Source organism: Homo sapiens, chromosome 2 (genome assembly GCF_000001405.40).
Source record: "Homo sapiens chromosome 2, GRCh38.p14 Primary Assembly".
Taxonomy (NCBI): domain Eukaryota; kingdom Metazoa; phylum Chordata; class Mammalia; order Primates; family Hominidae; genus Homo; species Homo sapiens.
The window spans coordinates 71646800-71665532 of record NC_000002.12 but is presented as its reverse complement, the minus strand read 5'-3'; the positions used below and the strand labels follow the sequence as shown (position 1 = coordinate 71665532).

At 41.9% G+C, this 18733-nt stretch overlaps 1 protein-coding gene across 14 annotated transcripts in view; it reads right to left on the bottom strand.

The window, feature by feature from the left end:
• The window catches only part of DYSF (dysferlin), a 233203-nt gene that overhangs the window by 21231 nt on the left and 193239 nt on the right, over window positions 1-18733 (bottom strand). For all 14 annotated transcript variants that reach the window (NM_001130979.2, NM_001130981.2, NM_001130980.2 and 11 more), the window contains 5 exons: window positions 9243-9371; window positions 6500-6655; window positions 4882-4973; window positions 1095-1265; window positions 229-371 (listed from right to left, as the gene is read on the bottom strand). In NM_001130979.2, the coding sequence (NP_001124451.1) occupies window positions 229-371; window positions 1095-1265; window positions 4882-4973; window positions 6500-6655; window positions 9243-9371 (691 nt within the window). The remainder of the gene's footprint in view (window positions 1-228; window positions 372-1094; window positions 1266-4881; window positions 4974-6499; window positions 6656-9242; window positions 9372-18733) is intronic.

Below are 18733 nucleotides of genomic sequence, written 5' to 3'. Positions count from 1 at the left end.
GACCCTGGCTGTGCCCTGACCTCTAATTTTCACAGTGGCATCACAGGTCAGTACTGATCCTCAAAGTACCAAGTGCAAGTGGAGCCCATCTGTGCTGCCCTGGAGAGACCCACAGCCTGCTGCTGTGGGTTATGTCCGCTTGGGTCTTTTATGGTAGCAGAGGGTCTGATGAGAGAGGGAGGGATACAGCGAGAGCCCACCATGGTTTGGGGTCATGTGGCAGCTCACCTATCTCTTCAATGGAATATTCTTTATCCTGAAACATTACACGGTCTGTCCGGTACACAGGTGCCTTGACTCTATGCTGCTGGCAGAAGAGGTGGAGGAGCTGGGAGGGGCGGAGCTGGTCCCGCCACTGGTTCGGTCCAGAGCTGAGGAGCAAGCACAAGACATAGATGAGATGCTTCAAGGACACTCATGAGGGTAGAGGGGCATGCAGGGACTGGTGTACCCCCATGTACAGCATTGCCCACTCCTTGCTTTTACAGTGGGTGTCCCATCTGATTGCTCACCATGACTGGGCATCCCCATTTTACAGATGGAGAAATGGAGGCTCAGAGAGAAAAGGACTCATTTAAGTACGGAATTGCAACTTAAATGTTTTCAATTTCCAGAGTTAGATAATCAGACCCAGAGAAGACTTGAGATGGTGGGAAGAGGGGTGCAGTCCTCACATGCATTCCCCTGACATAAACCATCACAAAATTCCCCTTCGGGCCCAGTTGCAGCACACATGTCCTCTCATCTGTTTCCCCTGCTTCTTTCCTGCCTTCCTTCCCTCTCTCCCTTTCCAGGTACCTAGCCCTCTCTAGGCCTTCTATGTGCATTACAGATAACTGGATTATAACAATGTGATGAGCCAGGTTCTTGGTTCAAATCCTAATTCCACCACTTACAAGCAATAACATCTCTGGGCTTCAGTTTCTTCATCTGTGGAGTGGGGATAGGACTCCCATTGGACTCAATGAGAGAATGCCTAGGAAGTGCTAAGCCCAGGGCTGGCACACAGTAAGTGCTCAGTGGTGGTGTGTTGTCAGAGAAGACAGGGGTGGTGTGTTGTCAGAGAAGCAGGCAGCCAGCCCCCATCCACGTACACACAGTAGGTCTGTGGGAGTCCACAGCGAGCCCCAAACTTGGACAGCAGCCTGTTCTCCAGGTCGACGACCGTCTCACCGATCTTTTCGTCCTTGGAGAGGAGGTCATAGTCATAGAGAGTGATCTTTAGGTCCTTCTCCAGAGGCAGAGTGCAGGTCAGCTCGAACATCCTGCAGGAGGGGCAGATTCCCGATGTCAGCCAACACGGGGCACCCAAGGGACAGGCAGGGCAGGACAAGAGCTCGAAACTACCCCAGGGAGTCTTCTTTCCTTGGGCCCCCTACAGATCTTACAGGCCCAACCACCCACAGCACTGCTGTACTGGGCCTGAGTGTGTGTGTAGGGGGAAGGGGGACAGGACTTTCCCAAATAAACTGTGCTGGGCATAAGGCAAGTGCCTGCCTGATGGACCACAGACCGAAAGAATGAATTGGAAATGCACATTAAAACTGAAGCTTTGACCACGACACCAGGAGACAACAGATGCAAGAGATGTGAAACTCCAGAGCCAGGGGCCAGAGCTTTGGAATTTACCGACGACTGGTACCTCCAGTCCAGGGAGGACTCCCGGTAAATTGGGGGACTCCAATTTACCGACGACTGGTACTCCAGAGCAAGGGGCCAGAGCTTTGGAATTTACCGATGACTGGAAACTCCAGGCCTGGGACCTGCTTTCTGGACTCTTCACATCCACTTCTGGGATGGGATGGAGGGAGAATTTGTGAAAAGATTTCTCTGGCGAGAGCTCTTGCTGTATCTGAGAACTCCATCTACCATGTGCATCAAAGGGAGAGGTATTCTCCCTTCTCCCCCTAAAATGAGCTCCCTGCAGGTGAGAGACACAAGCCTGGCACCTGGTGCATGCTCAGGGAAACTTAAGCAACTTGTGGCATGGAGAAGGAGGGCAGGGGCCACATTTGGGAGGAGCTGCACTCTGGCCCATGCCTGGGCAAGGAACACAAGGACTTCCTGGGAGGAGAAGAAACCACTCTGAGGCCAGACTGGAACTGCTCTGAATCCTGCCCTGTGAGACCCCCAGAGGGTTGTAGCAGCGAGAGATTGTGGAGTTGACCATCTGAGAACCAGGGGCTGGGGACAGCAGCTAAAGGGACGCAGCATCTGCCATATCCCAGAAAGTGCAGTGGGAGGGCTCACGGGGGGCTCTCTGAGGAACCTCTGGAAAGCACCCACAGGAAAATAAGTCGGCTTTCAACATCCGTGGTCCAGAGAGTACCCGGATGACAGCGGTGGTGGGCACATGAGACGGGCCCTCTCCCCAGCCCAGACACTGCAGGAGTCAGAACCTCAGAGGTCAGCCAGAGCAGGAAGGGAGAAACACTGGACCAGGAAGGGAGGAAGGCAGGGCCCTTCCTTCCCTACACCACGCGCGTGCGCGCACACACACACACACACGTAAACATACACAAATATACACACACCACACACATATGCAGACACATGGACACAGACATACACACACAAATATGCACACACACACACATGCACATACGTGCACACATATACACACACAGGCACACAAATGTACTCACGTACACACACACACATACATGGACACAGACACACACACATACACACACATATACACAAATGCACATATACACACACCACACACAGACACACAGACACAAACACACATACACACACACATACAAATACACATGCACATACACGCACACATATACAAATACACATACACACACATACATACAACACACATACATATACACACACCACACACATACACGGACACATGGACACAGAGACACATACACACAAAATACACACATGCCACACAGACACACAGACACACACAGACGCATACACCTACACACATGTATACACACAAATACACATGCACACATATATACACACACCACACAGACACACGAACACAGACACACATACACATATACACACACATACACACAAATACATACACACGCACGCACATATGTGCACATATACACACATACACACACATACATACACACATATACACACACAACTGCATCCAAAGAGGGGACACACTCCCCTAGAGCCATCAGGGAGCTCGGGATTCCATACAAATGGGCAGTGGGTTATGGCCTGAGACTGGGTTCGTGAGTTAAAGTGGCTGAGCTCAATGTGAGCAGAAAAGTCACCTGCCTGTCAGTTTCCTCAGGGGAAAGGAGAAGGTAACGCCATGGAATACATGGTGACAAAAACCACCTCATGCGTTGTGTTCGTCTGACACATGGGTTATAGAATGGAAGGGTTTCTGTTGTGATCTGAAGGAGGCTTAAAGCACCAGGCAGACCAGCTTGCCCAGGATTGGGGGGAGATGGGGAAACAGGCATGGGAGGGGTGTGTTCCTGCACTGGCTCCCCTATCTCCCCTGAGTCCTGACACACGCCCACCCACTGTGGAACAGGCCCTGCCCACTGCCCCATCAGCATTAGCCTGAGGTCCTGCGCCAGCCCCTGGAGCTCGCCAGCCCCTGGAACTCATACAGAGTTCCTCTCTCCCACCTACCACTTCCCTCCAATCCCTGCTTGGTGGGAGCTCATCACTGGCCAGGGCTGGTTCACCTTCAAAAGCTGCATTTCCCCAAGGAGACTGGGTCCTCACTGCAGGGTGAGTGACCACAACTAACTCAACAGACCCCGGTTTATAAGTGCAATATGTGACTTGATGACATCGGAACAGTAGGTGTCTTCTGCAGGTGCGAGAGAAATAGCTGCCACCCTCCCTCTGCATCCTCCCCTCTCTGGCCTAAACAAGCTCACATCCAAACAGCAATTCAGGATGCCTAGGAATTACTCCCATGCAATGGGCATTGATTCTTCCTTTCCTTGTTCTCAGATTTCAGGAATCATTTTACTATCTTGGGTCTACATTCTTCCTCTAGCTCTTGCTACAAACACATGTGGGACACTTACAGAGAATTAATTACTAAATGCAATGTCGTATAACAGATTGGATCCTGAGACATTAGTAAGAGGACATTAGTGGGAAAACATGAAATCCTTTAAAAAAAAGTCTAGTTTGGTTAAACGTAATGCACCAATGATGATTTCTTCATTTTGACAAATGTCCCATGGTTAGGTAAGATGATACCAGTGGGGGAAATTGAGTAAGGGGTTACCAGTGGGGGAAATTGAGTAAGTGGAAATTATGCACTGTCTCTGTAACTGTTTAGTAAATCTAAAATTATTCCAAAGTAAAAGTTTATCTTAAAAAAAAAAAAGAATTAGCAAATGCATCTTCTGAGCTTACACACAGATTTCTACTTTTTCTTTCTTTTTTTTTTTTTTTTTTTTTGAGACAGGGTTTTGCTCTGTCACCCAGGCTGGAGTGCAGTAGTTTGATCACAGATCACTGTAAGCTCAAACTCCTAGGCTCAAGGGATCCTCCCACCTCAGCCTCCCAAGTATCTGGAACCACAGGCATGCACTACCATGCCTGGCTAAGTTTTTTATTTTTTGTAGAGATGGGGTCTTGCTATGTTGCCCAGACTGGTCTCAAACTCCTGAGCTCAAGCCATGTAGATTTCTGATCTTAGACGTAATTGTTTAGCATTTAACTAGGAGCTTCTGTTGGGATCAAGTCTTTAGCAGCTAAAGAAGGGCTAACTGAGGCTATGCCCCCATAGACATGCAAGATTTAAGGAATACAGTTTTGCTCCAAGAGATACGGACTTCACAGTGCCAGTCACATCTCCCCCACTAGACTGTGGGTTATCCTGTCTGGCTCCTCCACCCCAAGACCCAAGATGCCCCAATTTACTTTCCAAATACGGGCTCCAGCGTGCAGGGGATGTAGTTATCCTGGTCACTCACTGATTTCTTCCCTATGGAGATCTTGATGTAAGGATCACACTGGAGGAGGAGACAAAACACTTCTGTGAAAACACTTTCCAAACCTGTCTTTGAGGCTTCATGAGTGCCTTGCCTCTGGATGGGATGAGGGAGCAGCCATCAGGAAGTTGAGATGTGGGCTGTGTCCTGCCAAGACAGGGCCCCCTCCCACACACCACACCACTCCACTTGGACCCTGACATGGGCTTCTGGTCTTGGCTCCAGCCGTGGGAATGGGGCACCTGAGTCCTTCACACTCCCAATCTACTGCTCCATTGGGAGAGGCCAGGCCCTTATCAGAAACACAACAGTCTGCATTACACACATGACGAGACCAGGCTGGGGTCCTCTCTGTGACCTCTGCTTAAGCATATGGAATGAGAGAGGGGTGGTCAGCCTATGTCAGCCTAGGCTAGCCCAGGGAGGTCTCCCTCCATGCTTCCTGGAAGCAGCAGCACCCCTCAGCCAGCGACCCAGCAGCTGGGGCTGCAGAGTGCCCAGGGTTAGTCTAGCATCAGGAAGGCTTCAAGCATATAAACCAACCCACTGGCCATGACCACACCTTGGAGGCCGTCAGTGGTGCCTAGGCTGAGAACTGCTCCATTCTGTCCCTTGAAAGGTGAGGCTACAGGGTGGGATACCAGGCCTCCGCCCACCACCTGAAGGACACATGCTGGGCCTAAACCTGCCTCAGGAGACAAGAGGGGACCCTAGCCTCATGCCTGTAAAGGCAAATCAGGCCCCACCCCTGCCTCTCTTCTTTCCTCTTTCTTTCTCTTCCCAACATTACTCTGCCTCCCACCTCTGTCACCTCCCCATAACTCCAGACTCCTTTCCTCCTTCAAATCTCCCCTCTCCATCTCAGGCAATGACTAGAGGGAGACAGCTCACGCACTTATCTTGGGCACAAAATGTAAGGAAGGGCCAAAATAGTTATTAAGATAAACAGTACTTTAATGAAATATTTTAAAAATTAAAATCAGTGTCAATAGTCCATGATGAACAAAATATCAAAATTTTAAATAAAGACCGGGTGAGTGTTACCAGCATTCCCTTTTACCTGGGACTCTGCCATGACTAGGCATAGCAGTCACTAACGCTGCTCCTTTCCCCCATCACTCCTCCCCATTAACCATTGAGAGTCCCAACCTATACCCTCAGCCTTACTTATCTTTCTGCTTTATTCTTGTTCTAGACACACATTAAGCAATTTTCTTTCAAACCTTTGCCTATGCTTTTGGCCCCTCTTAAAACACTATTTTCTTCTCCCTCCCAGCCTATCAAAATCTCATCTATCCTAAGAGTCCTATTCCTTCCAGGAAGCCTTCCCCATTTTCCCAAAGTCCTGTACTGACACTGGCCTTCCCTGACCTTCTAGAGCACTTGGTCCTTAACACAACTCCATCCAGGCACCTCTCAGTTTTGTGTGTTTGTCTGTTTCCCAACCTACTATGAACTCCCTGAGGCAGAGTTTGTGTCCAGGTTCTATAGGCCACTTGTACCTGAGCCTGCTACTCTGGGGGAGGTGAGGGCTCTAGGAAAGTTACCTTTCCATTGGGGTCCTTGGGCTGCAGGCCAAATGCTCGGACAATGTAGATACGGACCAAGCACTCCTGGGGTCCCTGGGCGGCCAGCTGGTGGAACTGTCTTGGGGGCATGGGGATGGCTGGGTCTTCTGGGAGGGGATAAATTTTGAAGAGGCCCTGAAAAGAAGGAAGGGTTAATTTTCATTTTTATCATCATTGTTGATATGGTTTGGCTGTGTCCCCACCCAAATCTCAACTTGAATTGTATCTCCCAGAATTCCCACATGTTGTGGGAGGGACCCAGGAGGAGATAATTGAATCATGGGGGCCAGTCTTTCCCATGCTATTCTCGTGATAGTAAATAAGTATCATGAGATCTGTTGGGTTTATCAGGTGTTTCTGCTTTTGCTTCCTCCTCCTTTTCTCTTGCCACTACCATGTAAGAACTGCCTTTCACCTCCTGCCATGATTCTGAGGCCTTGCCAGCCATGTGGAACTGTAAGTTCAATTAAACCTCTTTTTCTTCCAAGTCTTGGGTATGTCTTCATCAGCAGTGTGAAAACAGAATAATACAGTAAATTGGTACCAGGAGTGGGGTGTTGATGAAAAGATACCCAAAAATGTGGAAGCGACTTTGGAACTGGCTAACAGGCAGAGGTTGGAACAGTTTGGAGGGCTCAGAATAAGATGGGAAAACGTGGAAAACTATGGAACTTCCTAAAGACTTGTTTAATGGCTTTGCCCAAAATGCTGATAGCAATATGGACAATAAAATCCAGGCTGAGGTGGTCTCAGATAGAGATGGGGAACTTGTTGGGAACTGGAGCAAAGGTGACTCTTGTTATGTTTTAGCAAAGAGACTGGTGGCATCTTGCCTCTGCCCTAGAAATCTGTGGAGCTTTGAACTGGAGAGAGACGATTTAGGGTATCTGGCAGAAGAAATTTCTAAGCAGCAAAGCATTCAAAAGTTGACTTGGGTGCTGTTAAAAGCATTCTGTTTTAAAAGGGAAACAGAGCATAAAAGTTCAGAAAATGTGCAGCCTGATGATGCAGAAGAAAAGAAAAACCCATTTTTTGAGAAGAAATTCAAGCCAGCTGCAGAAATTTGCATAAGTAGCAAGGAGCCTAATGTTAATCCCCAAGACCATGGGGAAAATGTCTCCAGGCCATATCAGAGATCTTCACAGCAGCCCCTCCCATCACAGGCCCAGAAGCCCAGGAGGAAAAAGTGGTTTTGTGGGCCGGGCCCAGGGTCCCTGTGCTATGTGCAGCCCAGGGACTTGGTGCTCTGTGTCCCAGCTGCTCCAACCGTGGCTGAAAGGGGCCAATGTACAGCTTGGGCTGTGGCTTCACAGGGTGGAATCCCCAAGCCTTGGCAGCTTCCACGTGGTATTGAGCCTGTGGGTGCACGGAAGTCAAGAACTGAGGTTTGGGAACCTCCACCCAGATTTCAGAAGAGGTATGGAAACACCTGGATGCCCAGGCAAAAGTTTGCTGCAGGGGTGGGGCCCTTATGGAGAACCTCTGCTAGGGCAATGCAGAAGGGAAATGTGGGGGCTCTGATGCCCCACATCTGGGGCACTGCTAGTAGAGCTGTGAGAAGAGGGCCACCTTCCTCCAGACCCTAGAATGGTAAATCCACCAACAGCTTGTACCGTGAACCTGGAAAAGCCTCAGACACTCAACGCCAGCCTGTGAAAGCAGCCAGGAGGGAGCCTGTACCCTGCAAAGCCACAGAGGCAGAGCTGCCCAAGACCATGGGAACCTACCTTTTGCGTCAGCATGACCTAGATGTGAGACCTGGAGTCAAAGGAGATCATTTTGGAGCTTTAAAATATGACTGTCCCACTGGATTTCAGACTTGCATGAGCCCTGTAACCTTTTGGTTTTGGCCAATTTCTCCCATTTGGAATGGCTGTATTTACCCAATACCTGCACCCCCATTGTATCTAGGAAGTAACTACCTTACTTTTGATATTACAGGCTCATAGGTGGAAGGGACTATGCCTTGTCTCAGATGAGACTTTGGACTGTGGACTTTTGGGTTAATGCTGAAATGAGTTAACTTTGGGGGACTCTAAGGAAGGCATAATTGGTTTTGAAATGTGAGAACATGAGATTTGGAGGGGCCAGGGGCAGAATGATATGGTTTGGCTGCATTCCCACTCAAATCTCAACTCCAATTGTATCTCCCAGAATTCCCACGTGTTGGGGGAGGGACCCAGGAGGAGGTAACTGAATCATGGGGGCCAGTCTTTCTCGTGCTATTCTCGTGGTGGTGAATAAGTCTCACAAGATCTGATGGGTTTATCAGGGGATTCTGCTTTTGCTTCTTCCTCATTTTCTCTTGCTGCCACCATATAAGAACTGCCTTTCCCCTCCCGCCATGATTCTGAGGCCTTGCCAGCCATGTGGAACTCTAAGTTCAATTAAACCTCTTTTTCTTCCCAGTCTTGAATGTGTCTTTATCAGCAGCATGAAAACAGACTAAAAACAAATACAATTGTCACTGACACAATCACCATCATGACCACCACTCTCATCTCTACCAGAGTCACCACCACTGAGATCACCAAGCCCAACACCATCCCATCACCAGTCAGATTCTGCGTCAGCGGCATCACCATCACCACCTCCATTACCCATGTGGTCACCAACATCAGCACCAGGGTCACCAGTGTAGGTACGACCCCTCCCCTTCACTTATTGCTCCAACACCACAGTCTTAGGCCCACCTGGGTTAGGGACGTCTTCGAGGATTTACCTTAAATTCACCAATCACAGATGGATCTTCTGTCTCCTCCTGCGTCTTGCCCCGGTACAGCTTGAAGGTGTTACAAAAGTCAGACAGGCCCTCAAAGGCCTCCACATTCTCCAGCTGTGTGTCATAGACCTGCCACACATGGGGATTAGAGGAGGGGACAAGAGACAGAAAGAAAGTAGAACAACAGCAAAGGAAAGGAAACAAGAGAAGGAGGGGAAACATGACAGTGTGAGAGTGAATAAAGAGAGAGAAGGAAGAGAGAAGAAGAAAAGGAGGGAAAGTGACCAAAAACAAAATAAAGGAATGAAGGCAAAGAAGAGGGCAGGGTTGGAGAGATGGAGAGGTCACAGAGGGAGCCAGAAAGGAACAGAGGAGGAGATGGACAGAAAATTCCAGGGGAAGGGAGCAAAAGGAAAGATATTTGTTCAGCTCCGTTAGGGAATAGGGTTTTCTGGTCAATAAAATATTGTAAGTACCTGAGAGTCATCAGAGACATGGGCAGTACATTTTTTAAAAGAACAAGATTATGAATGAGCAAAGGGTGGACCGACATTTTATTTGAAGACTGTGATAGATGTCTGGAAAATTAACAGGTCAGCATTTCAAGTAAAAATGTTCACATACAGGATATCCAATGACAATGGTATCAAATATCAATCCAAGTGTATCTTTGGAGCATCACTTTAAACTTGTTAGCTCAATTCATTTACTTGTCTCTTCTCAAACAGCCAATGATTATTATTTGTTAAAGCAGTGCTTTAGAATTGCTTAGGATTTAATAAAGCAGCAAGCTGTTTTTTATTATGCTGATAAAATGTACCTAATAAACAGTAACATTAAACAGGTTAACATACATGCTAAATTCGTCATATCTGAAATCATCTTTCCAAATATTATTTCTCATTTAGGCCCAGCTCAAATTCTGTCTCTTCCTTGAAGGTCAAGTTCTATCTTTTCTAATAAATATTTAATTATGCAAGTGACACAGGTTCATTATTAAAATTTAGAAAAATATAAGCAAATATTTTTAAAAATTAATATTGTCTTAAATTCTAATTCTCAAAAATAACTAGTTATTTGATCAGCATTTGGTATATGTCCTTTTGAATATTTTCTTTATATATATAATTTTTTAACCAAAATTATGGACTCAAAAGATACAAACTTGTAACTTGTTTTGTGGATGGGGGGTGCAAGTGAGGGGAGAAGTCTCACTCTGTCACCCAGGGTGGAGTGCAGTGGTGCAATCATGGCTCACTGCAGCCTTGAACTCCTGGGCTCAAATGATCCCCCCACCTTAGCCTCCTGTAGCTGGGAGTACAGGCGTGCCACCACACTGAGCTAATTTTTATATTTTTTATTTTATTTTATTTTTGTAGAGATGAGTTCTGGCCATGTTGCCCAGGTTGGTCTCAAACTCCTGGACTCAAGCAATCCTCCCACTTCATCCTCCCAAAGTGCTGGGATTACAGGTGTGAGCCACTGTGCCTGGCCTGTAACTTGTTTTTTAACCTAATGATGTACCATGAAAATCTTTGCAAGGTCAAAAAATATACTTCTATAAAACTCTTCCTTCCTAATGGCAATATGATATTCAATTTTATAAATGTATCACAAGATATGATGAACATTTAGTTTTGCGGTTTTTCAATATTATTATTTTTATTTTCTGTAGAGATGGAGTCTCGCTATGTTGCCTAGGCTGGTCTCCAACTCCTGGCCTCAAGCAATCCTCCCACCTCCGCCTCCCAAAGTGCAGGGATTACTGGCATGAGCCACCAGACCCAGCCATCAACATTATTTTTTTAAACCACTTATACGGTGTGGGAGTTTTAAAATCTCCTATCCAAGTGTTTTGTGCACTTGTTTAAATTCATCTTTATTATAAGCTCCCAGAAAAAGAATTCCTGGACAAGGAGTATGCACATTTTAAGACCTCTGATGTGCACAAATTGCTCTCTGGAAAAATTGTATGGATTTATATACTCCTATCTACAGTGTTCAAGTGTGCCCACACTCCCAGCCTTTCACCATCACTGTACACTTTCACCCATTTTTAGCTTTGTTAATTTGATAGATAGAAGATGGTATGCTGAATTTTAAATTGCATTTATTTAATAGAGATAATAATAATAGAGAAACTTGCACGGGTTTATCAGCCATTTGTATTTCTTCTGCTCATCCTTGTCATTTGTACATTTTCCATCTGTTGGTGTTTGTTTTCTGTTCTGTGGTGATTTGAGAGACTTCTTGGTATATAAAGGATATTAAACTTTGGTCTATCAAATGTTTGTCCCAGTCTGTCACTTGCCTTTCAGTTATGTTTATGTTATATTTATGATATTTTTATTTATGGTATGTTTATGTTTGTGTTTATGTTATATTTATGGTTACGTTTGATTATCTTATGTTTATATTTACAATTTTTAGCCATATCAGAAATTTTTTTTATTATTATTATTTTTTAATTTTATTTTTTTATTATACTTTAAGTTTTAGGGTACATGTGCACAATGTGCAGGTCTGTTACATATGTATACATGTGCCATGTTGGTGTGCTGCACCCATTAACTCTTCATTTAACATTAGGTGTATCTCCTAATGCTATCCCTCCCCCCTCCCCCCACCCCACAACAGGCCCCAGAGTGTGATGTTCCCCTTCCTGTGTCCATGTGATCTCATTGTTCAATTCCCACCTATGAGTGAGAACATGCGGTGTTTGGTTTTTTGTCCTTGCGATAGTTTGCTGAGAATGATGGTTTCCAGCTTCATCCATGTGCCTACAAAGGACATGAACTCATCATTCTTTATGGCTGCATAGTATTCCATGGTGTATATGTGCCACATTTTCTTAATCCAGTCTATCATTGTTGGACATTTGGGTTGGTTCCAAGTCTTTGCTATTGTGAATAGTGCCGCAATAAACATACGTGTGCATGTGTCTTTATAGCAGCATGTTTTATAATCCTTTGGGTATATACCCAGTAATGAGATGGCTGGGTCAAATGGTATTTCTAGTTCTAGATCCCTGAGGAATCACCACACTGACTTCCACAATGGTTGATCTAGTTTACAGTCCCACCAACAGTGTAAAAGTGTTCCTATTTCTCCACATTCTCTCCAGCACCTGTTGTTTCCTGACTTTTTAATGATCGCCATTCTAACTGGTGTGAGATGGTATCTCATTGTGATTTTGATTTGCATTTTAGCCATACCAGAAATTTCTAGATCATCTCATCTAAAGATCTTTTTCTTTATAGTGTCTGCCTCTCAAATTATACTTACAATGTCTTCATAGCAAGATTATTCAACACTCAATTCAATTTGGTACCCAGCGTGAGGCAAGAATTTAATTTATTTTTTGCTAAATGGTTAGGCAATTATCTAAACATCATATTTGTTTAAACTTCTTCTCCCTTTCCCATGACTTGTGTCATATGCCAAATGCTCACGCCTCCTTTTGTTTGTTTGTGATCTCTTCTCTGCTCTATTGATCTGTGCGTTTTTTCACCAATACCATGTTTTAATCACTGTGGCTTCATAACCTGTTTCGTTACCTGATGTTCTTCCAGATGAAATTTTAAAACATTAAGTTCCATTCTCAACAAAATGTTTCTTTGGAATTTTTGTTAGGCTTGCATTAAACTTAAAACTAATTTTCAACAGGGGAATTGTTATCTTTATAGTATTAACATTTTAATACAGGAACATGATCTGATTCTTAACTTACACAAGACTTTTACTATTTATAGGCATCTTCATACAGAGCCTATGTGTTTATTGTTGAGTTTATTCCTCATGAAGCTTCTTTTGTTGGTACTATGAATGTGAATCTTTCTTCCACTAGATTTTCTAAATAGTTGCTGCCATCTTACTGGGTTCTCCTGATGGTTCTACTAATTTTTCAGTTGGTTCTCTTCAGGTGGTAAGCAAGTCAGTCAGACACAGGGATAATTTTGTCTTCTCCTTTCTAAAATGAACGACCCGTTTCTTTTTGTTGACATTGAAATGGTTAGAAGATATGGACCAATGTTAGTGATAACATGAACGTGATCACAGTGAGTCTTGTCTTGTCTTTGTGAAAGGACTGCCCTAGTGTTTCACTCAGTACCTTAACCTATATTGAGTCACAGAGTGCTTCAGTAATCTACAGTCAATAAGCCATGGACTCTCTCCCCAGACAAATGCACTTAGGAACATTCTTGAGAAATACAAGTTCATTTTCTACAGTAAAGAAACCTTCTGAAGTCATGAAGTTGGATGTTGGCTGTTAGCTTGAGAGATGTTCTTTTTAACATTAAGGAAACTCCTATTTCCAATATGTTACTTGATCTTATAAATCATCAATAGATATTAAACTTTATTGAATGCTTTTCAGCACCAACTGAAATAATCTTTGTTAATGTTACCTACTGATATGATGAATACTGTTCATGATTTCCTAATGTTGAACTTTTTATATTCCTGGAATGAAGCAAATTCGGTTATCATGACATTATTTTAATATTAGTTAGGTTTCATTTGCTATTATTTCTCTAAGATTTTTCATATATATTCATGTCATAGATGATATTTATACATATGGCTGAACTTTATCAGATTTTGATGGTAAGGTAATTCTAGCTCTATAAAAATCGAGGTTTTCTACATTTTAATATTTTCTCTGCTGTGAAATACTACATATAGCACAGGAATTATTTATTCTTTGAAAATTTAGGAAATTCACTTTATAATTCCCTGGCTCCAGCTCTCTCTTTGAAAGTAATTCTTTGATAATTTTCCTGTTTCTTTCATATTTTTTGCTGCTTCTTGAGACAGTTCTGTTTCTCTTTTCCTTCACATTATCTCATTTTAAGGACATTTTCAAATCTATTAACATAGAAATATACTTAGAATTTTTCTAAAATTCCTAACTCCCAATTATCTCTGCTGTTATGTCCCTGTTTTCATTGCGGATTTTGGCTTGGTTTTCTCTACTTCTCTAAAGTAGACTAGCTGAAGAGTTATCTATTTTAGTTGATTCATTCCAATCAAAGTGCCAATTATTTGATTTTTTTCAATTCAATTCTATAATTTTCTCTTTTCTAATTTTTTCTGCTTTTCCTTTTCCTTTTCTCTTTTTTTGTCCTGCTGTTTTAAGGGCTTTTCATTATCATTATTCTAGCTTCTTGAATTGAAGCTTTACTTACTCCCTTTTTCCAGATAATGAAAATAGTTACTCATATGAAATTGCCTCTGCTCACTAATGTCTTGGCATTGCCTCATTTGTTTTGATACATGTTTTCATTTTCATTTTCCCGGCATTCTGTAATTACAGTTTTATCTTTATTATTTGATCCCAGAGTTAGATACTTAATTAGTTTTCTTTTTTGTAATTAACATAATTTCTTAAGGCCACAAATTCCCTCTGAACGCTGCTTTAACTATAACCAGTAAGTTCTAATATGTAGTGTTTTAGCACTGTTTCCTAGATGTTCTGTGCTTTCTGTTAGTATTTTCTCCTTCACCCAAGAATTGTTAAAATAGAGGGTTTTTTAATTTTCCAGGTAGAAGAGGCCTTTTGGGCTTTTGATCTTGTTACAAATTTCTAATTTTATTGCATTACAATCAGAAAATGTTTTCTTGGTATTGTCACTTTCTGAAATTTATTAAAGTTTTCTTCATGGCCTGTTACATGGTCAATTGTAGTAAAAGTGCCACACGTGTAGTCTTTATTTTCAGGCTACTGGGTTAAATCAGGTTACTAATCATGCCAAGCCTTCTACATCCTCTGACCTTTTATTTTTTATTTTATTTATTTATTTATTTTTGAGATGGAATCTTGCTCTGTCACCCAGGCTGGAGTGCAGTGGCACCATCTTGGCTCACTGCAATGTCCACCTCCCAGGTTCAAGCGATTCTCCTGTCTCAGCCTCCTGAGTAGCTAGAATTTCAGGTGCACGCCACCACGCCTGACTAATTTTTGTATTTTTTGTAGAGACAGAGTTTCGCTGTATTGACCAGGCTGGTCTTGAACTCCTGACTTCAAGTGATCTGCCTGCTTCGGCCTCCCAAAGTGCTGAGATTACAGGCTTGAGCCACCACACTTGGCCTCCTCTGACATTTTTGTCTCCTTGATCTGACATGAACTGAGAGAAGGGAATTAAATCTCCCCCTACCAACCAGTGTGTTTCCATTGCTTCTCATATCTCCTGTAAGTTGTGTTTTGTAAGTATTGATGTTGTAGTATTTAGCACATAGATATTCTCATAAGTGTCATATCTTGGAATTGTACCATTTAGCATTATAAAGTGTCATCCTTTGTCTCATTTAATTTTAGGAACCTGAATACCCTCTCATCTAATATTAAGATGATGACTTCTGCTGTCATTTAATTTGCATTTGCCTGGCACACATTTTCTTAATCTTATTTTCAAACTTTATCAATCTTTTCATTTGAGAGTTAGATTTTGCTCTGAGATCTGATTTAAATTTTGTAATTAGTAAGTGACTGATGTAACATGTATTGACAAGACAGATATGTTTGGTCTTGGTTTTACTTGTTTAATTATATAGTCATGTAATGTATTTATATCACATTTCCTCATTTCATAGGTTCTTTTTTTTTAATCTTTGCACGGTCCACTTTCTGTGTGTGGGGCGGATGGGAGTGGTGCATGTGACAGTTCTGATAGCTGGAATGATCTCAGCTTCTGTTCTAGTATTTATATACATTTATATATTCTGATAATACTTAGTCCTCTATGTCTTTAGGCATAGTATTTATGGGGTCCCTACTGTAGCAATAATAAAATAATCCAATTTTATCTCCCTCCTTCTCCCTATCACCCAGTTTTAGACAAGAATATCTTCCTTAACATTTACCTTTGTACTGTTTGCTTGTATCTTGCTTCTATGCTTATTATGTGACTTGCCAATTTCAAATAATATCTGTCCACTGTATTTATTTTATCATATGTCAATCATTGTCCTTACTCTATATTCCATACTCTTTTGTCCTTCTCCACCTAATTTTTGTCAGTTTTACCATCTCTACATTTTCAGTATATATGATATTTACATTCTTACCTATTACCTTAACCCTTCCATTTGTTTTCATTTTGAGTCTAAGGTAAAATATGACCATATTCACTTTTTTTTTTTTTTTTTTTTTGGAGACAAAGTCTTGCTCTATTATCCAGGCTAGAGTGCAGTGGTGCAATCATAGCTGACTACAGCCTCGAACTACAACCAGTCCTTCTGTTGTGGTTTCTCCAGATAACTTCCCAGGTTAGCTGAAGTTAATCCCCTAGGAGTTCCTTCAAGACAGGCTCATTGGAATCACATTACTCCAGTTCCTGAATATGTACAAATGGTTATCTGTAGCCTTTATGCTTGGAGGGGAGCTTGGCTGAACATATAATCCTCAGGTCACCCTGTCTTTCTTTGATGATCTTATATCAGTGTGTTATTGTCTTTGGATATGGAATGCTGTTACGAAAAAATGGAAGCCATCTTGATTTAGTTCCTATTTTAAATGACTTAATATTGCTTTTTTCTTTTCAAGAGGTGGGGAGGAGGTATGACTACCCAAAGAATTATTTCTTTATCTCTAAAGTACAGTAATTATATTAGAATATGTCTCAGATTGACCAATCTTTGTCAGTTTTTCCTGACACACCATGAACTTTTTCAATATGTATGTTCAACTATTCTTTCATTTCCGTAAGGTTTTATTAAACCATTATGGTTTTTTCTGTAATTTTTTTTACTATTTTGGTTGTCTTCCTTGGAGACTCCAATTATGCAAATGTTAGGTTTCCTTTCCCTGACGTCTATATCTGTCATTTTCTCTTTGTTCCTTTATAACTTTTTCATTATTTCCATTTTCGTTTGCTTACTTTTATAGTTTCTGTCCTCTGTGCCCTTGGTTGTGTTTTCCATGTGGCCCTTCTGCCCTGTGCTCCTTCCAACTTCACGTTTTCATCTCTTTCTTTCCTGAGTCCTGCCAGCCCATAGTTTATCACTCATTTTATCAGCCCTTGACTACTTTCATTTTTGCTTTGCATTCTGACTGCCCCATTTCTAAAAAGTTCATAGCAAAGCATTTCATCTCATCTGCTCCTTGGCAAAATTTTTCAAGTAGGTATATGTCCTCTTCTACTGATAAGTTTTCATTTTGATTTTCTTTTCTTTTTTGCAGGATTTTTGAATTCAGGCTACACCGTTTTAAAAAATTATTTCTCACTAAATGAGCTGAATTTTGTTCCCACCACAGAGGCAGACTGCTTCCTGCAAATATGGCTCATTTGTGTAATTCTTGTGTAGCTCCACCTCTGCTTCTCTGAATCAAATCAGGTCTAAGAGGCTTCTGTCATCAGCTTCAACCTGTCTCCAAAGTTTCCGTATCCACGGTTGTAAACAAAGGATGTAACATTTATATTTCATGGTGAAACCTCACTTTCAGGAACTGTATTTTGAAACTATTATGAAAATTTTCAAACACACACAAAAGTAAAGAGAATAGATAATAAACCCCCATGTAACCATTATCTGTCCTAAATAATTATCAACATTCTTCCATTAGAAAGTATATTTTTGCTAGGCTTTCTGAGATCTGCTACTACTCTGATCTTTCAACATTCTGCATGTATCTTCTCTTCACTTACTGCTGAGTGGCCTCTAACCAATTTCAGTTGTCTTTGAGCAGCCCTTACATATATTTTGAAGTCTGTGGCTTCTGTTTGTTTCCAACTTTTCTGAAAATGGATTTTGTGGGTTTGAATGATTTCCAAGAGAAAAGGGGAAAAATGCTGACTTATGCAGCCATGTTCATACTGGAAGTCCCAATAAAATATTTTTTAAATTTCTAAGCGGTTGAACTTTTTGTTTAAACTTTTGTTATTAATTTCTCATTTTATTGCATTATAATCTGTCTTGTATGATTTCTGCTTTTGGTAACTTACTACAAAACTAATATGTGATCAAATTTTGTAAGTATTCGCTGAGCATCAGGAAAAAATGTATTCTCCATTTTTTATTATTTTTATTCTCTATTTTAAAGCTATAACTTTAATTTCATGTAGCTTAAAAAACATTTACCTTGTTATTCAGATCTTTTATCTTCTTATGTATTTGTTGTCTGCTTGATAGTTAAGGAGAATGGTGTAATGAAATCCCCACTGCAACTTTAATTTCTGTCATTTTGTGCTTTTATCAAGTGTGAGATATCAGTTTATACATTCTTATCCATTTTTGCTTTAAGTATTTCTAAGCTTTACTATTCTATGCATAAATATTTGAGAGTCTTTTCATTGAAATATACATCTTTTATTTATATAAAACTCTCTATTTTGTTTCCTTTGCTCTTCACTTTAAATTCTGTTTTCCTTTGGTTTACACTTACCTTGTTTGCTAAAATATTGTTTTCCAAAATCTTTATTTTTTAGCCATTCTAAGTTGTATTGTTTTAGATGTGTCTTTTAAAGACAGTACAATGAATTTTGACTTTT